We start from the raw sequence: 20,421 nt of genomic DNA on the forward strand, positions 1-20,421 counted from the left end.
CCCCAGTGAAGCTGGCAGGAGCATGGCTATTGTGTGAGCCTGCGATAAAGTCAGAAGCCCAGCTTAACCTGGCCCTTTGGTGCTGGATCTCAGGGATTTAGAAATAGAACAATAGATCCTCATGAATGGAAGGGCCCTGAATTGCAGTGAGATTCAGGGGAAGAAAAGCCACAATTTCTGGGGAAGAAAATCACCCCCCCGCCCAAATACACACGAATACATTCCTGCACTCACACGCACATTCCACATCTCTACCAAGTAACTCCTCATCATCTACTTGCACACCTTCAGTCACGGGGAGCTCACCACTCTAGGAGGGACCCAGTTCTCTGGCCAGCTATGATAATGAGATGGATTCTGCCTCTACTGAGAATGGATTTTGCCTCCACTGATCCTGGCTTCATATTTCAGGCTTCTTGAGTTCCCTTTCTCTTCAATATGCCCAGTGCTGTCTGCCCTAGCCCTTCCCTTGGCTTCTGAAAAGATCCCCTGGTGGTGGACCACTAGGGGCCTCTGTGATAACAGTAGCATCAACAATCAGAACTCGCTGAGCGTTTACTATGTGCCAGTCCCCTGCTTAGCATGTCATAGGTGTTTTTAATCCTTAGAATAACACTGTGAGGAGGATGCTGTTCTTATTCCCTGTTTTATAGCCAGGGAAACTGAGGCACTGTGGACTTAAGTCATGCATTCAAAGCGAGGCCACACATCTAACAAGGTTGATCTCTCCTTCACTGATGACTCAGGGGTCACCTCCTGGGCAAGACTTCACAGATTCTCCAAGGACAGTGTCCTCACCCACCCCACGGGGCTCTCACCATGCCTCATCCATGCTCCTGCTACTGCCCTCATTTTTGGGTATTGCAATTCACTTGTTTTTTTGGCCTTGTCTAACACTGTCTGCCTCACATACTGCTCTTTGGGGTTCTCTGGGATAGAGGCTGAACGTGCCTCATTCACTGGTAATATCCCACACTTAACACAAGCCTGGTTCTTAACTTGTATTATATCTTCAAGGAATGTTACGGCTCAAACTTCTATGGAGGCTGCTGGGGCCCAGACCAGCATGCCCACAGATAAGATATCAATCAAAGCAGAAGCTAAATGTCAGGGGAGCTCCACAAAGACAGCCTGGATATATGCATAGAAGAAAAGGCAATGAAGAGTAGTAGAAAGAGCCCCAGTCAGGGGAGTCAGGTGCTCTGGGTTTTAGCCTCAATTCTTCCAGGCTCTTTGTGGTATATAGGACGAGTCTCTTTTTCTCACTGTGTCTCAGTATCCCCGTGCTGAACCTCAGGTTGTATGAAGGACTACTGGACACTCCTGGCACCATCAGCCTGCAGATGAGACTCTGATCGGGTTGTCCAGGATGCTGCTGGTGCCGAGTTCGGTCAGTGACTCCCAGCAGAGTCTCATTGCCATTGCTGCAGACCTGCTGGACGTGGCCTGTGTGCTACACCCCACAGTATCCCCATCTCCTGGCTGAAGGAAGCAAAGAGGAGTGGTCGGGGTGAGAGCCGCTACAGCCGCCACGGCAGCAGCAACCACAGCAAACCAGGTGCTATTCTAAGCGCTTTGCAGGCCCAGCTCCAAAAGGCGGGATGCTTGGAGGACTTTTCCAATGTGGCATTAATGAAGCTGTTGGCCTGGGCCTCGCCCTAGAGGTTCTTTGTGCAGAAATAACACCCCAGACAAAGGGATTCCCTTTGCCTCTGATCTTGGCCCAGCACAAATTCTCAGGCCCTCTCTGGGCTGACAACCTTGCTTTTGAATTCACAGAGAAAAGAGAAGCAACCAGACAAGCCTGGATCATCCCCTCTCTCTCCACAAATCTTCCGACTCACCTGCATCTATACCCACATTCTGAAAGATGTGAATTGGCCCATGTCCCTGTGCCTGTGGCTGTGGCAGCCACGGTGTGCCCATGGGCAATGATGGTGGGAATGGAAGTTGAATCCTGAGAGGTGCTGGGACAGTTAGTAAGATAATTTCTGGAATACACATGGCACAGGGCCTGAGCTGAGAGCTGGGTTATTGTAGGCATAATAACCCTCCAATAATAGTAGCTAGCACTCACTGATCACCGGTGCGCATCAGGCAATCTGTCCATATAAAGAGGCAGAGCTCAGAGACAGTCAGTCCGTTGGCGAGCAGGTGACCAGTTATCTAACTCCAGAACCACCCACTTCAGCATCCCCCTAGACCTCTGCTAACTGAGAGTGTTCTTCTCACTGGCACACAGGCAGTGCCCACTGGCTTACTGAGTAGGACCCAGGTCTTCTGGCTCCTAATTCATCACTATTACCCCTATTAACCCATCACCCTTCTCTGCCTTTTTTCTCCTCGGTGCTCAAGTATCATTCACATCTCACCAAGCATTTGGGCATTCCCTTAGTGACTCAGTGACTAATGACTGTAATGTGACATGTTATAAATTGTGGGGTGGTCTCAGGGTGGAAGACCACTCCCAGCGGGCCCTCTCTGAGTGGGAAATCTCTGCAGGTGACTTGAACAGAGTAGTTTACTGCCACCACGGGATGTCCAGCTGGATTGGATGCGTGTGAGTTACTTGGTAATGGAACCTCTAGCCTCTGCAATGGTTTCCTCACTGCCTGGTTTCGTGGCTTGTGCAGTTCCCTCTCACATCACACCAGATTGGCCTAGGTGGCCAATAGAACATGGAAAAAGTAATGATATGTGGCTTCCAAGCCTAGGTCATAAAAGACACTACTGCTTCCATCTCCCTCCTTTGAATCACTCCCTCTGGGGGACACAGACACAGTGACAATCTGATCTCTCTTGCTTTTCCCCACATTTCCCCCTTTTCTTTTCGACAAAACCGCCATCGTCATCATGGCCCGTTCTCGATGGTCGCTGTCTCTTCGGAGCTGTTGGGTACACCTGCACCTCACCATATCATGAGGACACTCTAGTAGCCCTGTGGCATTGCTTGCGTGGAAAGCAACAGAAGCCCCCTGCCAACACCCAGCACTGTCTCCATCCGCTCAGGTGGCTATCACAAAATACCATGGACTGGGCAGCTTATAAACAACAGAAATTTGGCCGGGCGCGGTGGCTCACACCTGTAATCCCAGCACTTTGGGAGGCTGACGTGGGTGGAGCACCTGAGGTCAGGAGTTTGAGACCAGCCTGACCAATAAGGTGAAACCCGGTCTCTACTAAAAATACAAAAATTAGCTGGGCGTGGTGGCGTGCGCCTGTAGTCCCAGCTACTCAGGAGGCTGAGACAGGAGAATCGTTTGAATCCAGGAGGTAGAGGTTGCAGTGAGCCGAGATCGTCCCACTGCACTGTAGCCTGGGCAACAAAGAGTGAAACTCCATCAAAAAAAAAAAAAAAAAAAAAAAAAAAACCCAGAAATGTATTTCTCACAGTTCTGAAGGCTGGAAGTCCAAGATCAAAGCCCCAGCAGGTACAATGTCTGGCCAGGGTCCACTTCCTTGTTCACAGACGACCATCTTTTCAATGTAACTTCACACACCAGAAGGGAAGAGGAGTCGCTTTCTGGCCTCTTTTATGAGAGCATTAATCCCATTCATAAGGTGAAGCCCTCCTGAATCACCTCTCAAAGGCTCCACCTTCTAAAAAAATCACCCTGAGGTGACGGGTCTCAGTATCCCCGCGCTGAACCTCGGGTTGTGTGGAGGATTTCTGGACACTCCTGGCACCACCAGCCAGTGGCTGAGACTGATAGGGCTGTGCAAGCTGCTGCTGGGGCCGAGTCCAGTCAGTGAGGGTTAGGATTTCCTAACCCTAATCCTTGAGGACCGGGATTTCAACGTATGAATTCGGGGGAGATACGAACATTTAGATCACAGCAAAGCACCGACTTGCCAACCATGTGAGTGAGTTCCATCGAAGGCAGGGCCTCTGGCTCCAGTCAAGCCTCCAGATGACGGCAGCCCTGCAGAGACCCTGAGCCGGAACTGCACACCCAAGCTCTTCCCAAACCTCGACCCGTAGAAACCATGGTAGATCATAAAGTCTGATTGTTGTTTTAAGCCATTAACTTTGGTGTAACTTTTTTTATATAGTAGGCAACTAATGCAGTGAGATATCCTTCCACCTCACACCTCAGGATTCACTTTGTCAACAAACTTTGGTGGCATTTGTGTTCTGAAAAATTGCTCATCCAAACACATGCTTGCAAGAGTGGCCGTTTTCTTCCACATCACCCTGTCCACAGGAAGAACCCTCATTCAGTGATGGAGATCTGAGGGCACCACCTCAAAGGGCCATTTCCATGCCAAAGTAAGGCAGGTGACATACCAGTTGTGAAAGGGGTGTCTGGATTCATCTCAGGTCTGTGGTTAAGCAATACCAAACCTTAATCCTCACAAAAATCTCTCTTTGTAGTGCGGATTAATAGAAGTGTAGCTAGACTATCTCAGTGTGGGATGTAAGGACCACCTGCATCAGAAAGACTCAAGGGAAGAAGGGGAGGTTTGATGAGAATAAACATGACCAAACAAATTTAGAGGATCAGAGCTTCACTGTCTTTTCCAAGCCATGAGCTCCTTAGTGAGGGTAGACCCAGCTTGTGTCTGCATCCTCTGTAGTAGAAGAAACACATTAAAATCCAGCCTGACTTTGGACTTGAGCTTTTGGGTGCTAGAACATCTTCAGAAGAGCACCTGGGGCAGGTAATGCTGTCTCAGGTCCCTGCTGTGTGTGAACTGGAGAAGCGGCTTCCAGGTACAGACAGCAAGACACTCTAGCCTCTGAGACCTCCCAGTCTTGGATTCCACACAGTGACACTCTAGCCTCTGAGACTTCCCAGTCTTGGATTCCACACAGTGACACTCTAACCTCTGAGACCTCCCAGTCTTGGATCCCACACAGTGACACTGTAGCTTCTGAGACCTCCCAGTCTTGGATCCCACACAGTTCTTCAGTTACTGTACTTTCATCAAACCCCATGTTACATCTTGCTAACTGAAACAAGTGTATATCTTTAAGGAGAAGTTAATGCATATGTTTCAGATTCATCCTATGTGGAAACTATCAAAATATTGTGCCTGAAGTCAAGTAACATCTAGAAAAGGCTTTTGGTAGTGCCAGGTTTTTATATGTCTCTTGATAGGACTGGGTTCTGGCCTTACTGCCTGCCAGAGTTTTACCAGTCAGTGCCAACGTCACCTCCTCCAGGAAGTCCCCCCTGGCTGCCCCAGCTATCTGGAGCTGCCCCTCCTCAGAGCACAGGAGGCTCCTAATCAGGGCCATGGTGTATGGAACTGCTCTTGTTCCCACAGGTCCCAAACCTGCCCAGTCAGATTGTGAGCTTCCCCGGGGTGAGCATCTGACACCCCCTCACTGGATTCTGCCATCACACACCAGCCTGGGCTCACAGGTGTGGGTCGGGAGATGAGGTGGTGCTAGCAAGGCTGGACTGGGGGATGGGAAGGCAGGAAGGGCAGTGGCAACTGGGGCACTGATGTATGGGAAGTTTGGTTTCTGAGTCCTCGGCTTCTTAGAATTGTCCTTTTCCTTAGGCACATTCTCAGGGGTGACACCAAGGCAGAGTCCAGCAGATAATGCTTGTGCCTCTCCTACTGAGCCAATTGAGTCTTTTAGAATAAGAGGAAGAACATTGACTCTAACCTGGCCACCCAATAGGCCCTGATGTCAGCTGCAGGCCTCAGTCACTGATAGAGGGCGGTAATGGCCTTAGATTAAGCCACTACCTCCTCTACAGACACAGGGCTGGCCTAGCCAAAGGCTAAAGCTGATATCAGCCTTAGACTGAGCCTCTAACAGAGTCCACAGCCTGTGCTTGGACCCCTGACCTGTACCACAATTCAGTGTAATGACTTGGCACACCTCTCCCCACTGCTGGGGCAGCCAGGGGTGCATACCCCTCTCCCCAAGTCCTCATTTCCATTCACCCAGCTGCTAATGACTTAGGATCTGTTTAGAGTCTGGGCAACTCCCTGTCAGCACAGACCACATGAGTTAACTCTTCTACTTTAAGGATATGGGGAAAGCAAAAGATACCATCTCAAACGAGAGATGTGTTCCTTCTGTTTGAAAGGCCACACTAGGTCATGCCCACCAAGCACAGCATCCTTGGTAAGACCTGGCCCTCATCACGGCTCTCTCTCTCCCAAAGCACCTTCCCTTCACTGTGTCTTCCCAGACCTCCTAGGCCCAGTGCCCAGCCTCTAGCAGCAAGCAGAAACAGACTCAGGGGCTGGTCCTCACAGATAAGATGGGCAGGGTTTGGAATTTTCCTCTCTCTGGCAACTCCTCCCAGCTTCTCCATGGGTCTCGGCCTTCCAGTTTCTGCTGACGTAGATGGTGCTGCTCAGAATGGCCACTTCATCCCCTCTTCTGAGGCCCCTTCCTGTTATTCATGCAAAGCAAAAAGCCAGGGTCACTTCCTTAGTGACGAGGACCCACTGCCAGACCCAGTGGCAGGGCAGCTATACAACTCTGCATATTCATAAAGGGCAATGCTGAGGTTCTGCGTGCACATCTGTGTGGGTGTATCTGCTGGTCAAACACTGAAAGGAAGCCTGCGCTGCAACAGCACAATCAGGAGCATCAGGAGTGTAATGCCCACGCAAGAGAACAACACCTTCCAAAAGTCCTCATGGGGGACAGAGAGAAAGACCTGGTGAGAGATCCCGGGAGAAACCACAGGATGAGAGGTCGGCGAAAGAACATTCTGAGGGGGTGCTTCCTCAGCAAGGCTGCCCCTTTGGACACACACCCCCAGAACATCAGGAAGTCAGCAACCTGTTTTGAAAGACTAGGGAAGACTCCTCTTGCAGAAAACATCATGCAACTCACTCCATACTCCAGCAAAGATCCTTTGGTGACATCACAGATTCCCAGAAAGAGGATGGCACATGGGTCTCCTTTTTCCTGAGTAACTGGGGGAGTGGGGTGGGTAGAATAGGCATGTTTACAATAGAAATATGTGGGCTGTAGAAAACAAAAAAATAAATCAAGAAGGGCTTGTAACTGTCACACAGAATCAACCCAGTCTTTTCTCTTCCACATGTTCACAGTCAGCATCATATGCTCAAGAATGTTCTCTTCTGCTCTTTTCACTTTGTATCATATTAGAATCATTTTCTGCCAGGGCTGGGCACGGTGGCTCACGCCTGTAATCCCAGCACTTTGGGAGGCCAAGGCAGGCGGATCACGAGATCAGGAGATCGAGACCACCATCCTGGCTAACCTGGGAAACCCCATCTCAACTAAAAATACGAAACATCAGCCAGGTGTGGTGGCACACGTCTGTAGTCCCAGCTACTCGGGAGGCTGACGCAGGAGAATTGCTTGAACCTGGGAGGTGGAGATTGCAGTGAGCCGAGATCGTGCCACTGCACTTCAGCCTGGGCAACAGAATGAGACTCCATCTCAAAAAAAAAAAAAAAAAAGAATCATTTTCTTCTGTCATTAAATGCTCATTGAAAGTATCGTTTTGAAGGGTACCTACTAATTCATGGGAATGTGGCTGGCTTTACTTTTTTCTTACTGATAAGCCTTTAAGTTTCTCTTCTCAAGATTTGCTCATATTCACAATGCTGAAATTAATCTTTGTACGTAAGTCTTTCTTTGCATCTCAGATTACTTTATTATCCAAATCTTGAAATTATTGATTATGAACCTATTAAGGCTTCTGACTCACATTTCTGAATTGTACTTCAAAATATTTGTGCCAATTTTTGCCCCTAACAAAAACAAATGAGATGCCCAACTCTCTGCAATCTCACCAGCAATGAGTATTTTCACTTTAAAATGTTAGCCATTGGGACAAGTAAAAGGGCAAATCTTATTTGGTTTGAATTTCCATGATTATTATTCAACTATACGTGATAGGTTGATGAAGAGACAAAGAAAGTCTTGCCAATGAAGGTCAAAATATCAGATACGGTACTTTTTAAATTATTATTTGTATACCTTTAAGGAGTACAAGTATTAATACAAATTTGTTACATGGATTTATTGTGTAGTGGTGAAGTCTGGGCTTGTAGTGTACCCATCACCTGAATAACATGCATTGTACCTTTTAAGTAATTTATCTTCCCTCACCCCCATTCTCCTACCCTTCCAAGTTTCCAATGTCTATTATTCCACACTCTGTGTCCTCGTGTACACATTATTTTGCAGTCATTTAAAAGTCAGAACATGATTAGATTAAAAAATGTGGTACATACAGACAATGGAATTCTATTCAGCCATAAAATAGAATGAAACCACGTCTCTTGCCGCTACAAGGCTTTTTTAAAATTTTTATTTATTTTTATTTTTATTTTTATTTTTGTTTTTGAGACGGAGCCTCGCTCTGTTGCCCAGGCTGGAGTGCAGTGGCACGATCTCGGCTCACCACAACCTCCGCGTCCTGGGTTCAAGTGACTCTCCTGCCTCAGCCTCCCAAGTAGCTGGGATTAAAGGCACACGCCACCACGCCTGGCTAATTTTTGTATTTTTAGTAGGGTCGGAGTTTCACCATGTTGGTCAGGCTGGTCTCGAACCCCTGACCTCAAGATCCGCCCACCTCAGCCTCCCAAAGTGCTGGGATTACAGGTATGAGCCACCGTGCCTGGCCTTCAGGGCTTTTTTTTTCACCTGATAACTTTATTTTTATTTTGTCTATAGAGATACTTTATTTTATTTTATAATTTCAACTTTTATTTTAGATTTGGGGGATACACTTGCAGGTTTGTTACATGAGTATATTGCATGATGTTGAGGTTTGGGATACAAATGATCCCAGCACCCAGAGAGTGAGCATTGCACCCAATAAGTGGTTTTTTAATCCTTGTCCCTCTCCCTCCCTGCCCCCTCTAGTAGTCCCCAGTTTCTATTGAGAGCATCTTTCCATGAGTGCCCAACGTTTAGCTCCTACTTATAAGTGAGAGCATGCAGTAGTTGGGTTTTTGTTCCTGTATTAATTCACTTGGCATAATGGCCTCCTGCGGCATTCATGTTGCTGCAAAGAACATAACTTTGTTCTTTTTTATGACTGCATAGTACTCCATAGTGTACATGGACTACATTTTCTTTATCCAATCCACTCTTGATGGGCATCTAGGATGATTCCATGTCTCTGCTATTGTGAATAGTGCTGCAATGAACATACAAGTGCATGTGTCTTTTTGGTAGAATGATTTATTTTCTTTTGGAGATACACCCAGTCATGGGATTGCTGAGTGAAATGGTAGTTCTGTTTTAAGTTACTTGAGACATCTCCAAACTGCTTTCCACAATGGCTGAACTAAACTTAAAAGCATAAACAAGATCGATGGTCCACTAGCTAGATTAACAAAGAAAAAAAAAAGAGAGAAGAACCCAATAAGCACAATCAGAAATGACAAAGGTAACATTACAGCTGATCCCACAGCAAGACAAAGACTCCTCAGAGACTACTATTAACATCTCTAAGAGCACAAACTAGAAAATTTAGAGGATACGGAAAAATTCCTGGAAGCACACAACCTCCCAAGACTGAATCAGGAGAAACTGAAACGCTGAAGAGACCAATATTGAGTTCTGAGACTGAATCAATAATAAAAAACCTACCAACCAAAAAAACAAAACAAAACAAAACAAAAAACACCCAGACCAGATGGAATAGCCAAATTCTACCAGACATACAAAGAAGAGCTGGTACCAATTCTACTAAAACTATCCAAAAAATCGAGGAGGAGGGACTGTGCTCTAACTCATTCTACAAAATCAGCATCGCCCTGCTACCAAAAGCTGGCAAAGACACAACAAAAAAAAATAAAAAACTACAGGCCAATATCCCTGATGAACATAGACACAAAAATCTTCAACAAAATACTAGCCAACAGAATCTAGCAGCACATCAAAAAGTTAATTCACCACAATCAAGTAGGCTTCATTTGTAGGATGCAACATTGGTTCAACATACGCAAATCAATAAATGTGATTCACCACATAAACAGAATTAGAAACAAAGACCATATGATTATCTCAATACATGTGGAAAAAGCCTTCAATAGAATCCAACATCCGTTCATGATAAAAAAAAAAAAACTCAACAAACCAGGCATTGAAGGAACCTATTATTATTATATAATAAAGTATTATCCATATGATAAAGTAGTATCACAAAATAATAAGAGCCATCTATGACAAATCCACAGCCAACATCATACCAAATGAGCCAAAGCAGAAAGCATTTCCCCAGAGAACTGGAACAAGACAAGGATGCCCACTCTCACCACTCCTATTTAATATAGTACTAGAAGTCCTAGCCAGAGCAATCAGGCAAGAGGAAGAAATAAAAGGCATCCAAATAGGAAAAAAAGAAGTTAAACCATCTCTGTTCACTGGTTATATGATTCTATGCCTGGAAAACCCTGAAAACTGCCAAAAGCCTCCTGGATCTGATAAAAATTTCAATAAAGTTTCAGGATACAAAATCAATGTAGAAAAATCAGTAGCCTTTCTACATAACAATAACATTCAAGCTACAAGCAAGATCAAGAATGCAATTCCATTTACAATAACCACAAAAAAAAACTAGAAATACATCTAACCAAGGAGGTGATCTCTATAAGGAGAACTACAAAACGCTGTTGAAAGAAATCATAGATGACACAAACAAATGGAAAAACATTCCATGCTCATGGATGGGAAGGATCAATACTGTTAAAATAGCCACACTGTCCAAAGCAATCTAAAGATTCAATGCAATTCCTATCAAACAACCAGCATCATTTTTTACAGAACTAGAGAAAAATCTAAAATTCATATGGAACCAAAAAGAGCCTAAATGGCCAAAGCAATCTTAAGCAAAAAGAACAAAGCTAGAGGAAATCACATTACTTAACTTCAAACTATACCATAAGGCTACAATAACCAGAACAGCAGTACTGGTACAAAAACAGACACATAGATCAATGGAACAGAATAGAGAACCCAGAAATAAAGCCACACACCTGGTAGCCATCTGATTTTCAACAAGGCTGACAAAAATAAGCAGTGGGGAAAGGGTTCCCTATTCAATAAATGGTGCTGGGACAACTGGCTAGCCATATGCAGAAGAATGAAGCTGGACTCCTGTCTTTCACTACATACAAAAATTAACTCAAGATGGATTAAAGATTTAAATGTCAAATTTAAACCTCAAACTATAAGTTAAACCTCAAACTATAGTTAAACCTCAAACTATAAGAATCCTAGAAGAAAACCTAGGAAATACCATTCTGGACATTGGCCTTGGGAAAAAAATTATGACTAAGTCCTCAAAAGCAACTGCAACAACAAAAAAGTGGACCTAATTAAACTAAAGAGCTTCTTCACAGCTAAAGAAACTATCAACAGAGTAAACAGACACCCTATAGAATGAAAGAAAATATTTTCAAATTATGCATCCAACAAAGGTCTAATATCCAGAATCCCTAAGGAGCTTAAACAACTTAACAAGCAAAAACCAAACAACCCCATTAAAAAGTGGGCAAAAGACATGAACAGACACTTCTCAAAAGAAGACATATAAGCAACCAATAAGCATATGAAAAAATGTTCAACATCACTAGTCATCAGAGAAATACAAATCAAAACCACAATGAGCGCCTGTACTTTGGGAAGCCCAGGTGGGTGGGCCACTTGAGGTCAGGAGTTCCAGAATAGCCTGGTGACATAGCCAACATGGTGAAACCCCATTTCTACTAAAAATACAAAAAAAAAAAAAAAAATTAGCAGTGTGTGGTGGTGCACACCTGTAATTCCAGCTGCTCCGGAGGCTGAGGCAGAAGAATCGCTTGGACCTGGGAGATGGAGGTTGCAGTGAGCCGAGGTTATGCCACTGCACTCCAGCATGGGTAACAGAGTGAGACTCCATCAAATAAATAAATAAATAAATAAATAAATAAATAAATAAATAAATAAATATAAAAACCCACATGAGATATCATCTCACATGAGTCAGAATGGCTATCATTTAAAAAGTCAAAATACAGTCCTTTTAAAGCTGGTTTGGAGGATATGGTTGGGATATGCTACAACCATGTGCTTCCATATTCTGAACCCCAGAATTAGAAATAGACACAGGCCACAGGCAGAACATTACCAGGCCTCCTCTGCATGAAGCAGCAGCGCAGAATACACATGCTCTGCAGCAGGTGGAGTTCAAAGAGGAAGCAGAAGGAGAAACTAAGTTAGGCGGCCCAGGTCCCAGTCCCAAAGGCACCAGCCAAATAATTCACTCCTCTTCTGGTAGAAGCAGATAGAGGTTACAGAGAGGAGAGAAGTCAGGGGTGTTTAAGAATAACTTTTCCTTATAGAATCTGGTAGAGGAAAGAGGAAGACGTGTTTATCCCTTATTCCATACTAATAAAGTCGGACTTTCTGCTTGTGTATGGACTGCTTGGGTTTGGAAAGAATTCGCAACCCCTGTCTTTGTTTCCTTTTTACCTTCATCCTTCCCCTTGGATTTTACCCTTCACATATATAGTTTGCAAAACTGTGCCCTGGCTACTGGTCTCTGTGACAGGTCAGGCACAAAAACAGCATGTTCAGACTGGGTAATTTGAGGACAATTTAATAAAGAGGCTATTTACAAAGATTTAGGCAAGGTGTAGGGAAGTAGCAGGGAGAGAGTGCAGGACTCTGGAACCAACACAGGGCTTGGAAGAGGAATATTACCACCCTGGGGTAGACATACCCTAAGGTGACCCACACTGAGTCCACCCTTGTGTAATCCCCTCCCCTTGAGTGTGGGTGGGTTTTTAACCAATAGAATATTTCAAGGGTGATGAGCTATTACTCTCATGACCACCTTACATTTTCAGGACTATGTCTTAGCAGGTTGAAAACAGTCTCTTGCTGGCCTTGAAAAGCAAACCGTCATGTGCTAACTGCCTAGAGATAGGGAGACGGCCATGTGGCAAAGAGCTTTGGGTGGCCTCTAGCACCAGGGGCAGTCTCTATCTAATAGCCAGTAAAAAAAAAAAAAAAAAAAAAAATGGGGCCCTCAGTCATGCAGCTACAAGGAAATGTATTCTTCCAACAGGCTGAATGAGCTGGAATGAACTTGGACGCTTCTCCCATTCAAGCCTCCAGATGAGAACACAGCCTAGTGGACACCTTGATGGCAACCTTGTGTGATCCTGATCAGAAGACCCAGTTAATACAATCTCATTATAAAAGAAAAAAAAAAGGCCTGGCGCAGTGGCTGACGCCTGTAATCCCAGCACTTTGGGAGGCCGAGGTGGGTGGATCACGAGGTCAGGAGTTCAAGACCAGCCTGACCAAGATGGTGAAACCCAGTCTCTACTAAAAATACGAAAATTAGATGGGCATAGTGGCAGGCACCTGTAATCCCAGCTGCTTGGGAGGGTGAGGCAGGACAGTCGCTTGAACCTGGGTGGCAGAGGTTGCAGTGAGCTGAGATTGTGCCACTGCACTCCAGCCTGGGTGACAGAGTGAGACTCCATCTCAAATAAAATAAAATAAAAATTAAAAAATAAAAGAGAAAAAAAGAAAAGGAAAGTTCTTTATTTCTAAACGTGCCTATGTATGTGCGTGTAAATAAAAGTCATAGATGAACAGACATTTAATGAGAATAGTGGTTACCTCCAAGGAGGGTCGGGGGCCTGGGATAGATGGTAAAGGTCTACTTACATGTTAACATCATTGTTTAAATGTGTGCAGTAACAATATATTCATATATTATTTGTATAATTAGAATACTAACAATATTAACCAAAGAAAAAGAAAAGATCATTTGCTCATTCATAATGTCATTCTCTGTTCACAACAGTGAACAGAGGCATTACCTATTTTTACTTTTCAAGTAAAGAAATGAGACCCAGAGAGGGGAAGAGGGTTGTACTTGTCGGTAGCCATGCTTCAGCCCATGGGGCCTCCACCAGCTCACACCATTCACTGTGCCTTTTCGGTGAGGATGGACTCCAGACCCTATAAGCGCCTTCCATGCTAGTGCTCAGATCCCGCATTTGTAGGCTCACAGCCCCCACTTACCCCCACAATGGACTGAATGTTTGTATCCTCCCAAAACTCATGTGTTGAAGCCTCATTCCCTAATGTGATGGTTTTAAGAGGTAGTGCCTTTGGAAGGTAATTAGTGCCCTTTTGAGAAGAGACACAAGAGATATGATTTCTACCCCCTCTATGAGAGGACACAGCAAAAAGGTAGCTGTGTGCAAACAAGGAAGAGAGCCCTCATCAGGAACTGAATTGGCCAACACCCTGATCTTGGACTTCCCAGCCTCCAGAACTGAGAGAAATAAATGTCTGTTGTTTGAAAGCCCCAGCCTATGGCATGCTTGTTACAGCAGCCCAGATGGATTAAGGCACTCCCTCCAAGAAACATCAGGCTCTCTACACATATCCTGGGTCAGACCCCCTCTGAGTCACTGGCAGAAACCACAGCTAGACCAGTCTAGGGGACAAATGCCCTATTCATTGATGCTTCAGGCAAACTCAAAGGTGATGCAGATTGATCCTCTATGTGACAGATGAGGAAACTGAGGCTCATGGAAGGGAGGACCCAGACACTCTGCTCTGAGTAACCAGAGCCTGGCTTCTCCTGAGCATGGTGTGTACGGCCATTTCTTGGAGGGAGATGCCACAGGGCCTCTCCTCCTGCAGCACATGACCTACCTGGAGCACAGGATATGCACTGATGAAGAACACACTGTACAAGGTAGGCTGTGAGCACTGCCTAGGTGTGAGAAAGGGAATCCAAGTGTGGGAACTTCCTCCCCTTCTTGAGGGGTCACCTGAGCCTTAGCTTACTCATACACTAAGCTGCATCTCCAGGGGAGAGCCGAGCCTATGGGAGTCTGGGCTGTGGGATTGTGTCTATTCTTATTTATTTCTAAGTGGCAGAATGCTAAAAAAAAAAAAAAAGAAAAGAAAAGAAAATAAAGACCATACCACTGCAAGTTAATTCAATGAGTTACTTTTTAAAAATAAATTTGTGCAGAAAAAATTCCTTGATCAGACTCTATAGCATGCAGCTACCCTGTCTGCTATGCAGGAAGCCACAGGACTCCCTGGCAAGAGGAGAGCGGGGGTATAGGCATCAGGGCGGGGGGCCCGCCTGGATGCAACGGGCAGAATTTTTCCTGCAGCAATGGAGCTGTAAGACAGCAGCCACAGGTGTCTTCCCCACCTCCAGCTCATTCAGCCTCTGACTCAGTCACCCTGCAGCCCCCCTTCTCTCCCAGCTCGGCCTCGGGCTGTTGTATTTTGCGTCACTCATTTCTCTGTGGCGCCAGCAGCCTTTATTGTTGAAAACGTCTGTATTTTGCTTTAATCAGAGCTCCTGTCAAGCACTGGCCCCCTCCTTTTGTACTTCATTGTCCTCAAGGGGAAAAAATTTATTACTAGCATCATTTTACACAAACCTCCCAGACGTGCTGGGATTCCACAATTCATGAAGCCACCACTTTGGTTTCTGCTCAGCACCAGGAGTCACAAAAGACAAAAGGAAAGAATGTCCACCTCTCCTCGAGCTGCTGCTACCAGTGCTGGTCAGCTACTGACTTCTGTGTGATCATCAGCCAGTTGCTGCCCCTCTCTGGGCATCAGGTTCATCACCTATGCAACCAGGGGGATAGAGATGGTTTCCAAAGATAATTTCATCCCATTCTGCTATAATTTTGATTCATAAGAGTAATTGGGGCTGGGCGCGGTGGCTCACACCTGTAATCCTAGCACTTTGGGAGGTCAATTGGATCACTTGCGATCAGGACTTTGAGACCAGCCTGGGCAACATGGCAAAACTCCATCTCTACCAAAAATACAAAAAAAATTAGCTGGGCATCATGGCATGCGCCTGTGGTCCCAGCTACTTGGGGGACTGAGGTGGAAGGATTGCTTGAGCCCAGGAGGTTGGGGCTGCAGTGAGCTGAGATCACACCACTGCACCCCAGCCTGGGTGACAAAGTGAGTCCCTGCCTCAAAAAAAAAAAAAAAAAAATAGTAATTGGAATTACCCAGACCTGTGCATCACGTCTCTCGGCCTCTGGTCATCGTTATCCCTAATGCTCATTGGACTTTCTGTTGTTTTTTTTTTTTTTTGAGACGGAGTCTCACTCTGTCGCCCAGGCTGGAGTGCAGGGGCGCGATCTCGGCTCACTGCAAGCTCCGCCTCCCGGGTTCACGCCATTCTCCAGCCTCAGCCTCCTGAGTAGCTGGGACTACAGGCGCCCGCCACCACGCCCGGCTAATTTTTTGTATTTTCAGTAGAGACGGGGTTTCACCGTGTTAGCCGGGATGGTCTCCATCTCTTGATCTTGTGATCCACCCGCCTCGGCCTCCCAAAGTGCTGGGATTACAGGCGTGAGCCACCGCGCCCGGCCCTGATTGGACTTTCTTATTGAATATCCGAGCATCACATTCCCCAACTTTAGACTTCTATGTCTTCTCCCTTCCTGGCCTGACACCCCAAGGCCTTCATAGCTTAGCTTCAACCTCCTCTTCCTGCCATTTCTCCTGTCCCTGTCACCCCATCCCATCACTGCCACCAGCAAGAAGGCTACATTTTTTAAAAGTTTATTTTATTTTATTTTTCTATGTTTATTTTTTTATTATACTTTAAGTTCTAGGGTACATGACTTGGAAGACTACATTTTAAGTTTTCTTCATGCCTCTTTGATTCTGCACATGCTGTTCCTGCTACCTGGAGTGCCTTTTCCCTCTCTTTCATTTGTCTATCTGACTTCTTTGCCTTCAAAACGCAGTTCAAACACCAAAGTCTTGAGGAAATGCCAGGTGAAATCAGTCTGAGCCTCCACTGGGCTCCCCTCGCCCCCCTGCACACGCCCCAAGCCCAGCACTGCCCACTGTTCTCAGGACAGGACCTGGCATGGACAGGTTGGATGCAGTTGGCTGCATGTGGGGACACACAGGGAGGGCCAGAACTCACCTAAACAGGGCTGGTGGACTCATCTTAACTGTGGCACAGTGGGAAGAATGCAGTTTTGGAGATGCTTGTGTCAGGGTTCAAATGCTGGTGCTGTCACTTTCTGGGGGTGTGCACTAAGGCAAGTCACTTAACTGCACTGTAAAATGCAATGTAAAATGGTAATTATTAAGCTTACCTTGCAAGGTCACTGTGAGGAATAGATAGAATTATGTGATGTCTAGCACACACTGAATGGTAGGTATTCAATAAATAGTAGTTATAGGGCCCACTTATCATTGTTTGTCTGTCTGTCTGCCTATTCATCCATCTATCCATCCATCCATCCATCCATCCATCCATCCATCCATCCAATACTGATTGAGTGTTTTCCACGTGCTGGGCATAGTGCTAGGCTGGAGATGTGGTAATGAGTATTCAGGACAAGCTAGGTCTCCCCCTCCTGCTCTGATATTTGAAGTGGCCTTAGTTTCCGTCTCACCTCTCCCAGTGCCACCTGACCTGGTGCTGCTCTAAGCTAGTGGGATGAAACTCTGGCCTGGCTCAGGCCACCCAGAGAAGGAGCATCATTTCCTTCTGCACCTGCCTGCCTGGTGCATGTGGGCCTGGACTGCCCTGAGGTGGGCCTCAGAGATGGGAAAGAGGCTCAAGATGGTGCTGGGCAGGGCCTGAGCCACTCAGAGACATTTCTGCAGCAGCCTTCATGGCCCTGCCACACTGGCCGCCACTTACCTGGCCATACCCCAACCCTTCCTCCAACTCCTCACTCCTATCCAGCTGATCTACTCACTCTTCCACTTGCCCTCCCAGAGGGCTGTTGTGAGGACTAAATGAATTGATGTAGGTAAAGTTCTAGAACCTTCCTGGCATGCAGTGGGCACTGCAGAAGCATTCAGGTCCACTATTCTATCATCAAATAATCAAGATGACTCATGCAGGGGCATCAATGCCCTCAGTTCACAGTCGTGGAAACACGCTGAGAGACAGAATGAGGGTCGCCCAAGGACAATGTCTGGGAAGAGGCGAGAGAGACTGGAAGCCAATTTGGACTGCAGTGAAGGGCTGAGGTCGGGCTCTTTCAATAAAAACATGTTATTACTGCCCTGAGCTGTTTACACCTCCCTCTAGATCAGCTGCATAGCCAGAGTGGGGAGGTGAGAAGTGGGCAAGGGAGCTGAAGCGGTGCTACCCTTCTGTGGGGGTTTGATGCAGCTATAGCACCCCCAGCCAACACACACACACAACATACGCAACACACAATCCTGAGAAATCCTCCCTGGAAAGCTTCCCCTGTAGATGCATGGACATGAGTCAGAAGTCAGCCATCGGCCGGGCACGGTGGCTCACGCCTGTAATCCCAGCATTTTGGGAGACCGAGGTGGATGAATCATGAGGTCAGGAGTTCAAGACCAGCCTGACCAACATGGTGAAACCCCGTCTCTACTAAAAATCCAAAAATTAGCCAGGCGTGGTGGTGCGTGTCTGTAATCCCAGCTACTCAGGAGGCTGAGGCAGGAGAATCGCTTGAACCCAGGAGGTGGAGGTTGCAGTGAGCCGAGATCACACCACTGCACGCCAGCCTGGGTGACAAAATGAGACTCTGTCTAAAAAAAAAAAAAAAAGTCAGCCATCAACTGCAGTTGTGCCTGGGTAGCTCCTTGGTGAGGTGCCTTTTGGAAACACCTCCTAGCACCCCAGGTAGTTCCCACTCCCAGGTCCCTCCATCCCAGACACCAAGCTGGAGGATTTACAAACATCTCATGCCCCAGGAGCTCAGAGTTAGGTGTTATTCTGTCCATGTCCCAGACAAATGTCCTGTGACTCAGAGAGGGGGCTTACTCAGGGACAATGAGAGGACGAGTGGCCCAGCGAGATAAGAAACAAGTATCCTGAGCCCTTATCTAGGACTTTCCTCCGCTTTCTTGTGCCAAGTCCTCAATGTCTCAGTTGCCTTGGGAGCTCCCTATATTCCTGGTCCCTGAGTACAAAAGAATGAGCAAGACAGGGCATCCACAAGGGCTCTTCCACTTGGCTGTCTCCTCCATCCCAGCCTTGGGGGGTCATTCTATCACCCACCACATATCCCCTCACTCGGATCCAAGGACCCTCTGTGGGCTTTCCTGATGCATCTCCCAGCACCTCACAAACACCCCCAGCCCGGCTGCCTTTTACGGAGCTGAATCGGGCCAAGACCTCCCTTTCACATGAGTTTTATTCCCTTTCAAAGGTGACTTGGTGACACTGTTCAGTGCGGACCCACCTCAAGCTTCGGTTGTTTGTGATTTAATGAGGAGCCTTTTAATTATAACATCTGTTGTTTTAATTACCAAAGGAATTATAATGAGGCTCCCGGAGGAAGCTGCTGCCAGAGTAGAAGCTGGAGAAGAATTCTCGGCATCAGAGGGCCGACAGGGTCCCTGGCACGGTGGCTGCCACTGAGTGTGACCCGTCATGGAGAGTACTTCATCTTCATTTTAATTAAGCTTCGGGGGTGAGACAGGCAGCCTCCGGATTCAAGGGAGCTGACTGCCCGTATCCTGAAAGAGGCTCTGCTTTAGGAAGCCTCGGATTTTGTGGATGGAGAGAAGGCAAAAAGACAAACACGCCATTTTGCTGATGCTGATAGAGGCACACATTGGCCACTCAATAAGCAGGTGGGGACAAGAGCCTGGGCCTCCCTACTGTGCAGCTGTGTGACCTTAGCACGATCAGCAGATGTCGGCAGATTTTAGTTTTCTCACGTAGAAAATGAAAGTGATGGTCAAGTGCAATGGCTCATGCCTGTAATCCCAGCACTTTGGGAGGCCAATGCAGGAGGATTACTTGAGATCAGGAGTTTGAGACAAGCCTGGGCAACATAGTGAGATCCCATTTCTAAAAAAAAAAGAAAGAAAAAAGAAAGCAAGAAAGAAAGAAGGAAAGAAAGAGAAAGAAAGAAAGAAAGAAAGGAAGGAAGAAAGAAAGAAAGAAAGAAAGAAAGATGAAAATGATGCCATCTCTTTCTCTCTCAATGAAATGATTCATCCCTGACATTAGAACCTGGGTTTAGAGTTTGTAAGCCATGTTCACATCCATCAGATAGAAAGAACTGTGTATATTGTAAGATGAATTTCACACAGACAGAGGGTCCATGATGAAGGTGAGGATACGAACCTTGGTGGTAGTGAGGCCAAGTTCATAATGGTGGTGAGAGTGATTATGTTTCTGAGATAGCAATCATGCCCATTATCTCAGCTCTTTACCCCTTCTGTATCCATGCCCATTGAAGTTCCTCTCCCTAAAGAGCGTGAGTCTTTTCTCCCACTGAATTTGGACAGGTCTTGCAACTTGCTGCATTTAAAAGAATGCAGGAGAAATGATGATAAGCCTGTTCCACACCTAGGTCTCGGCAGATCTTGCTTGCTTCTGCTTCCTCTCTGCTTCTCCACCACAACCCTGAGAACTTGCCCAGGCTTGCCTACAGAGAATGAGATTCACATGAAGGAGAGCCAATGCCATTCTAGATGGGCCAACAGCCCACCAG

The 20,421-nt window shown here is 46.3% G+C and overlaps 1 long non-coding RNA gene across 2 annotated transcripts in view, besides 1 other annotated feature; it reads right to left on the bottom strand.

The window, feature by feature from the left end:
• The window catches only part of LOC105371508 (uncharacterized), a 40,615-nt gene extending 22,891 nt beyond the window's left edge, over positions 1–17,724 (bottom strand). The window contains exons 1-3 of one of the 2 annotated variants that reach the window (XR_934184.2): positions 17,631–17,724; positions 16,902–17,037; positions 16,517–16,731 (exon numbers count right to left, since the gene is read on the bottom strand). This is a non-coding gene — a long non-coding RNA (uncharacterized LOC105371508). Of the gene's footprint in view, positions 1–16,516; positions 16,732–16,901; positions 17,038–17,630 lie in introns of those variants that run through there. The other variant, XR_934185.3, reaches the window with a different exon arrangement.
• Positions 18,606–18,900: an enhancer, noted in NCBI's record as "tiled region #13257; K562 Activating DNase matched - State 10:DNaseD". NCBI's record gives its function as "activates a minimal TATA promoter and a strong SV40 promoter by Sharpr-MPRA in K562 cells {active_cell/tissue: K562}" and the evidence as "EXISTENCE:reporter gene assay evidence [ECO:0000049][PMID:27701403]".

The sequence above is a fragment of the Homo sapiens genome, chromosome 17 (genome assembly GCF_000001405.40).
Source record: "Homo sapiens chromosome 17, GRCh38.p14 Primary Assembly".
NCBI classification, from domain to species: domain Eukaryota; kingdom Metazoa; phylum Chordata; class Mammalia; order Primates; family Hominidae; genus Homo; species Homo sapiens.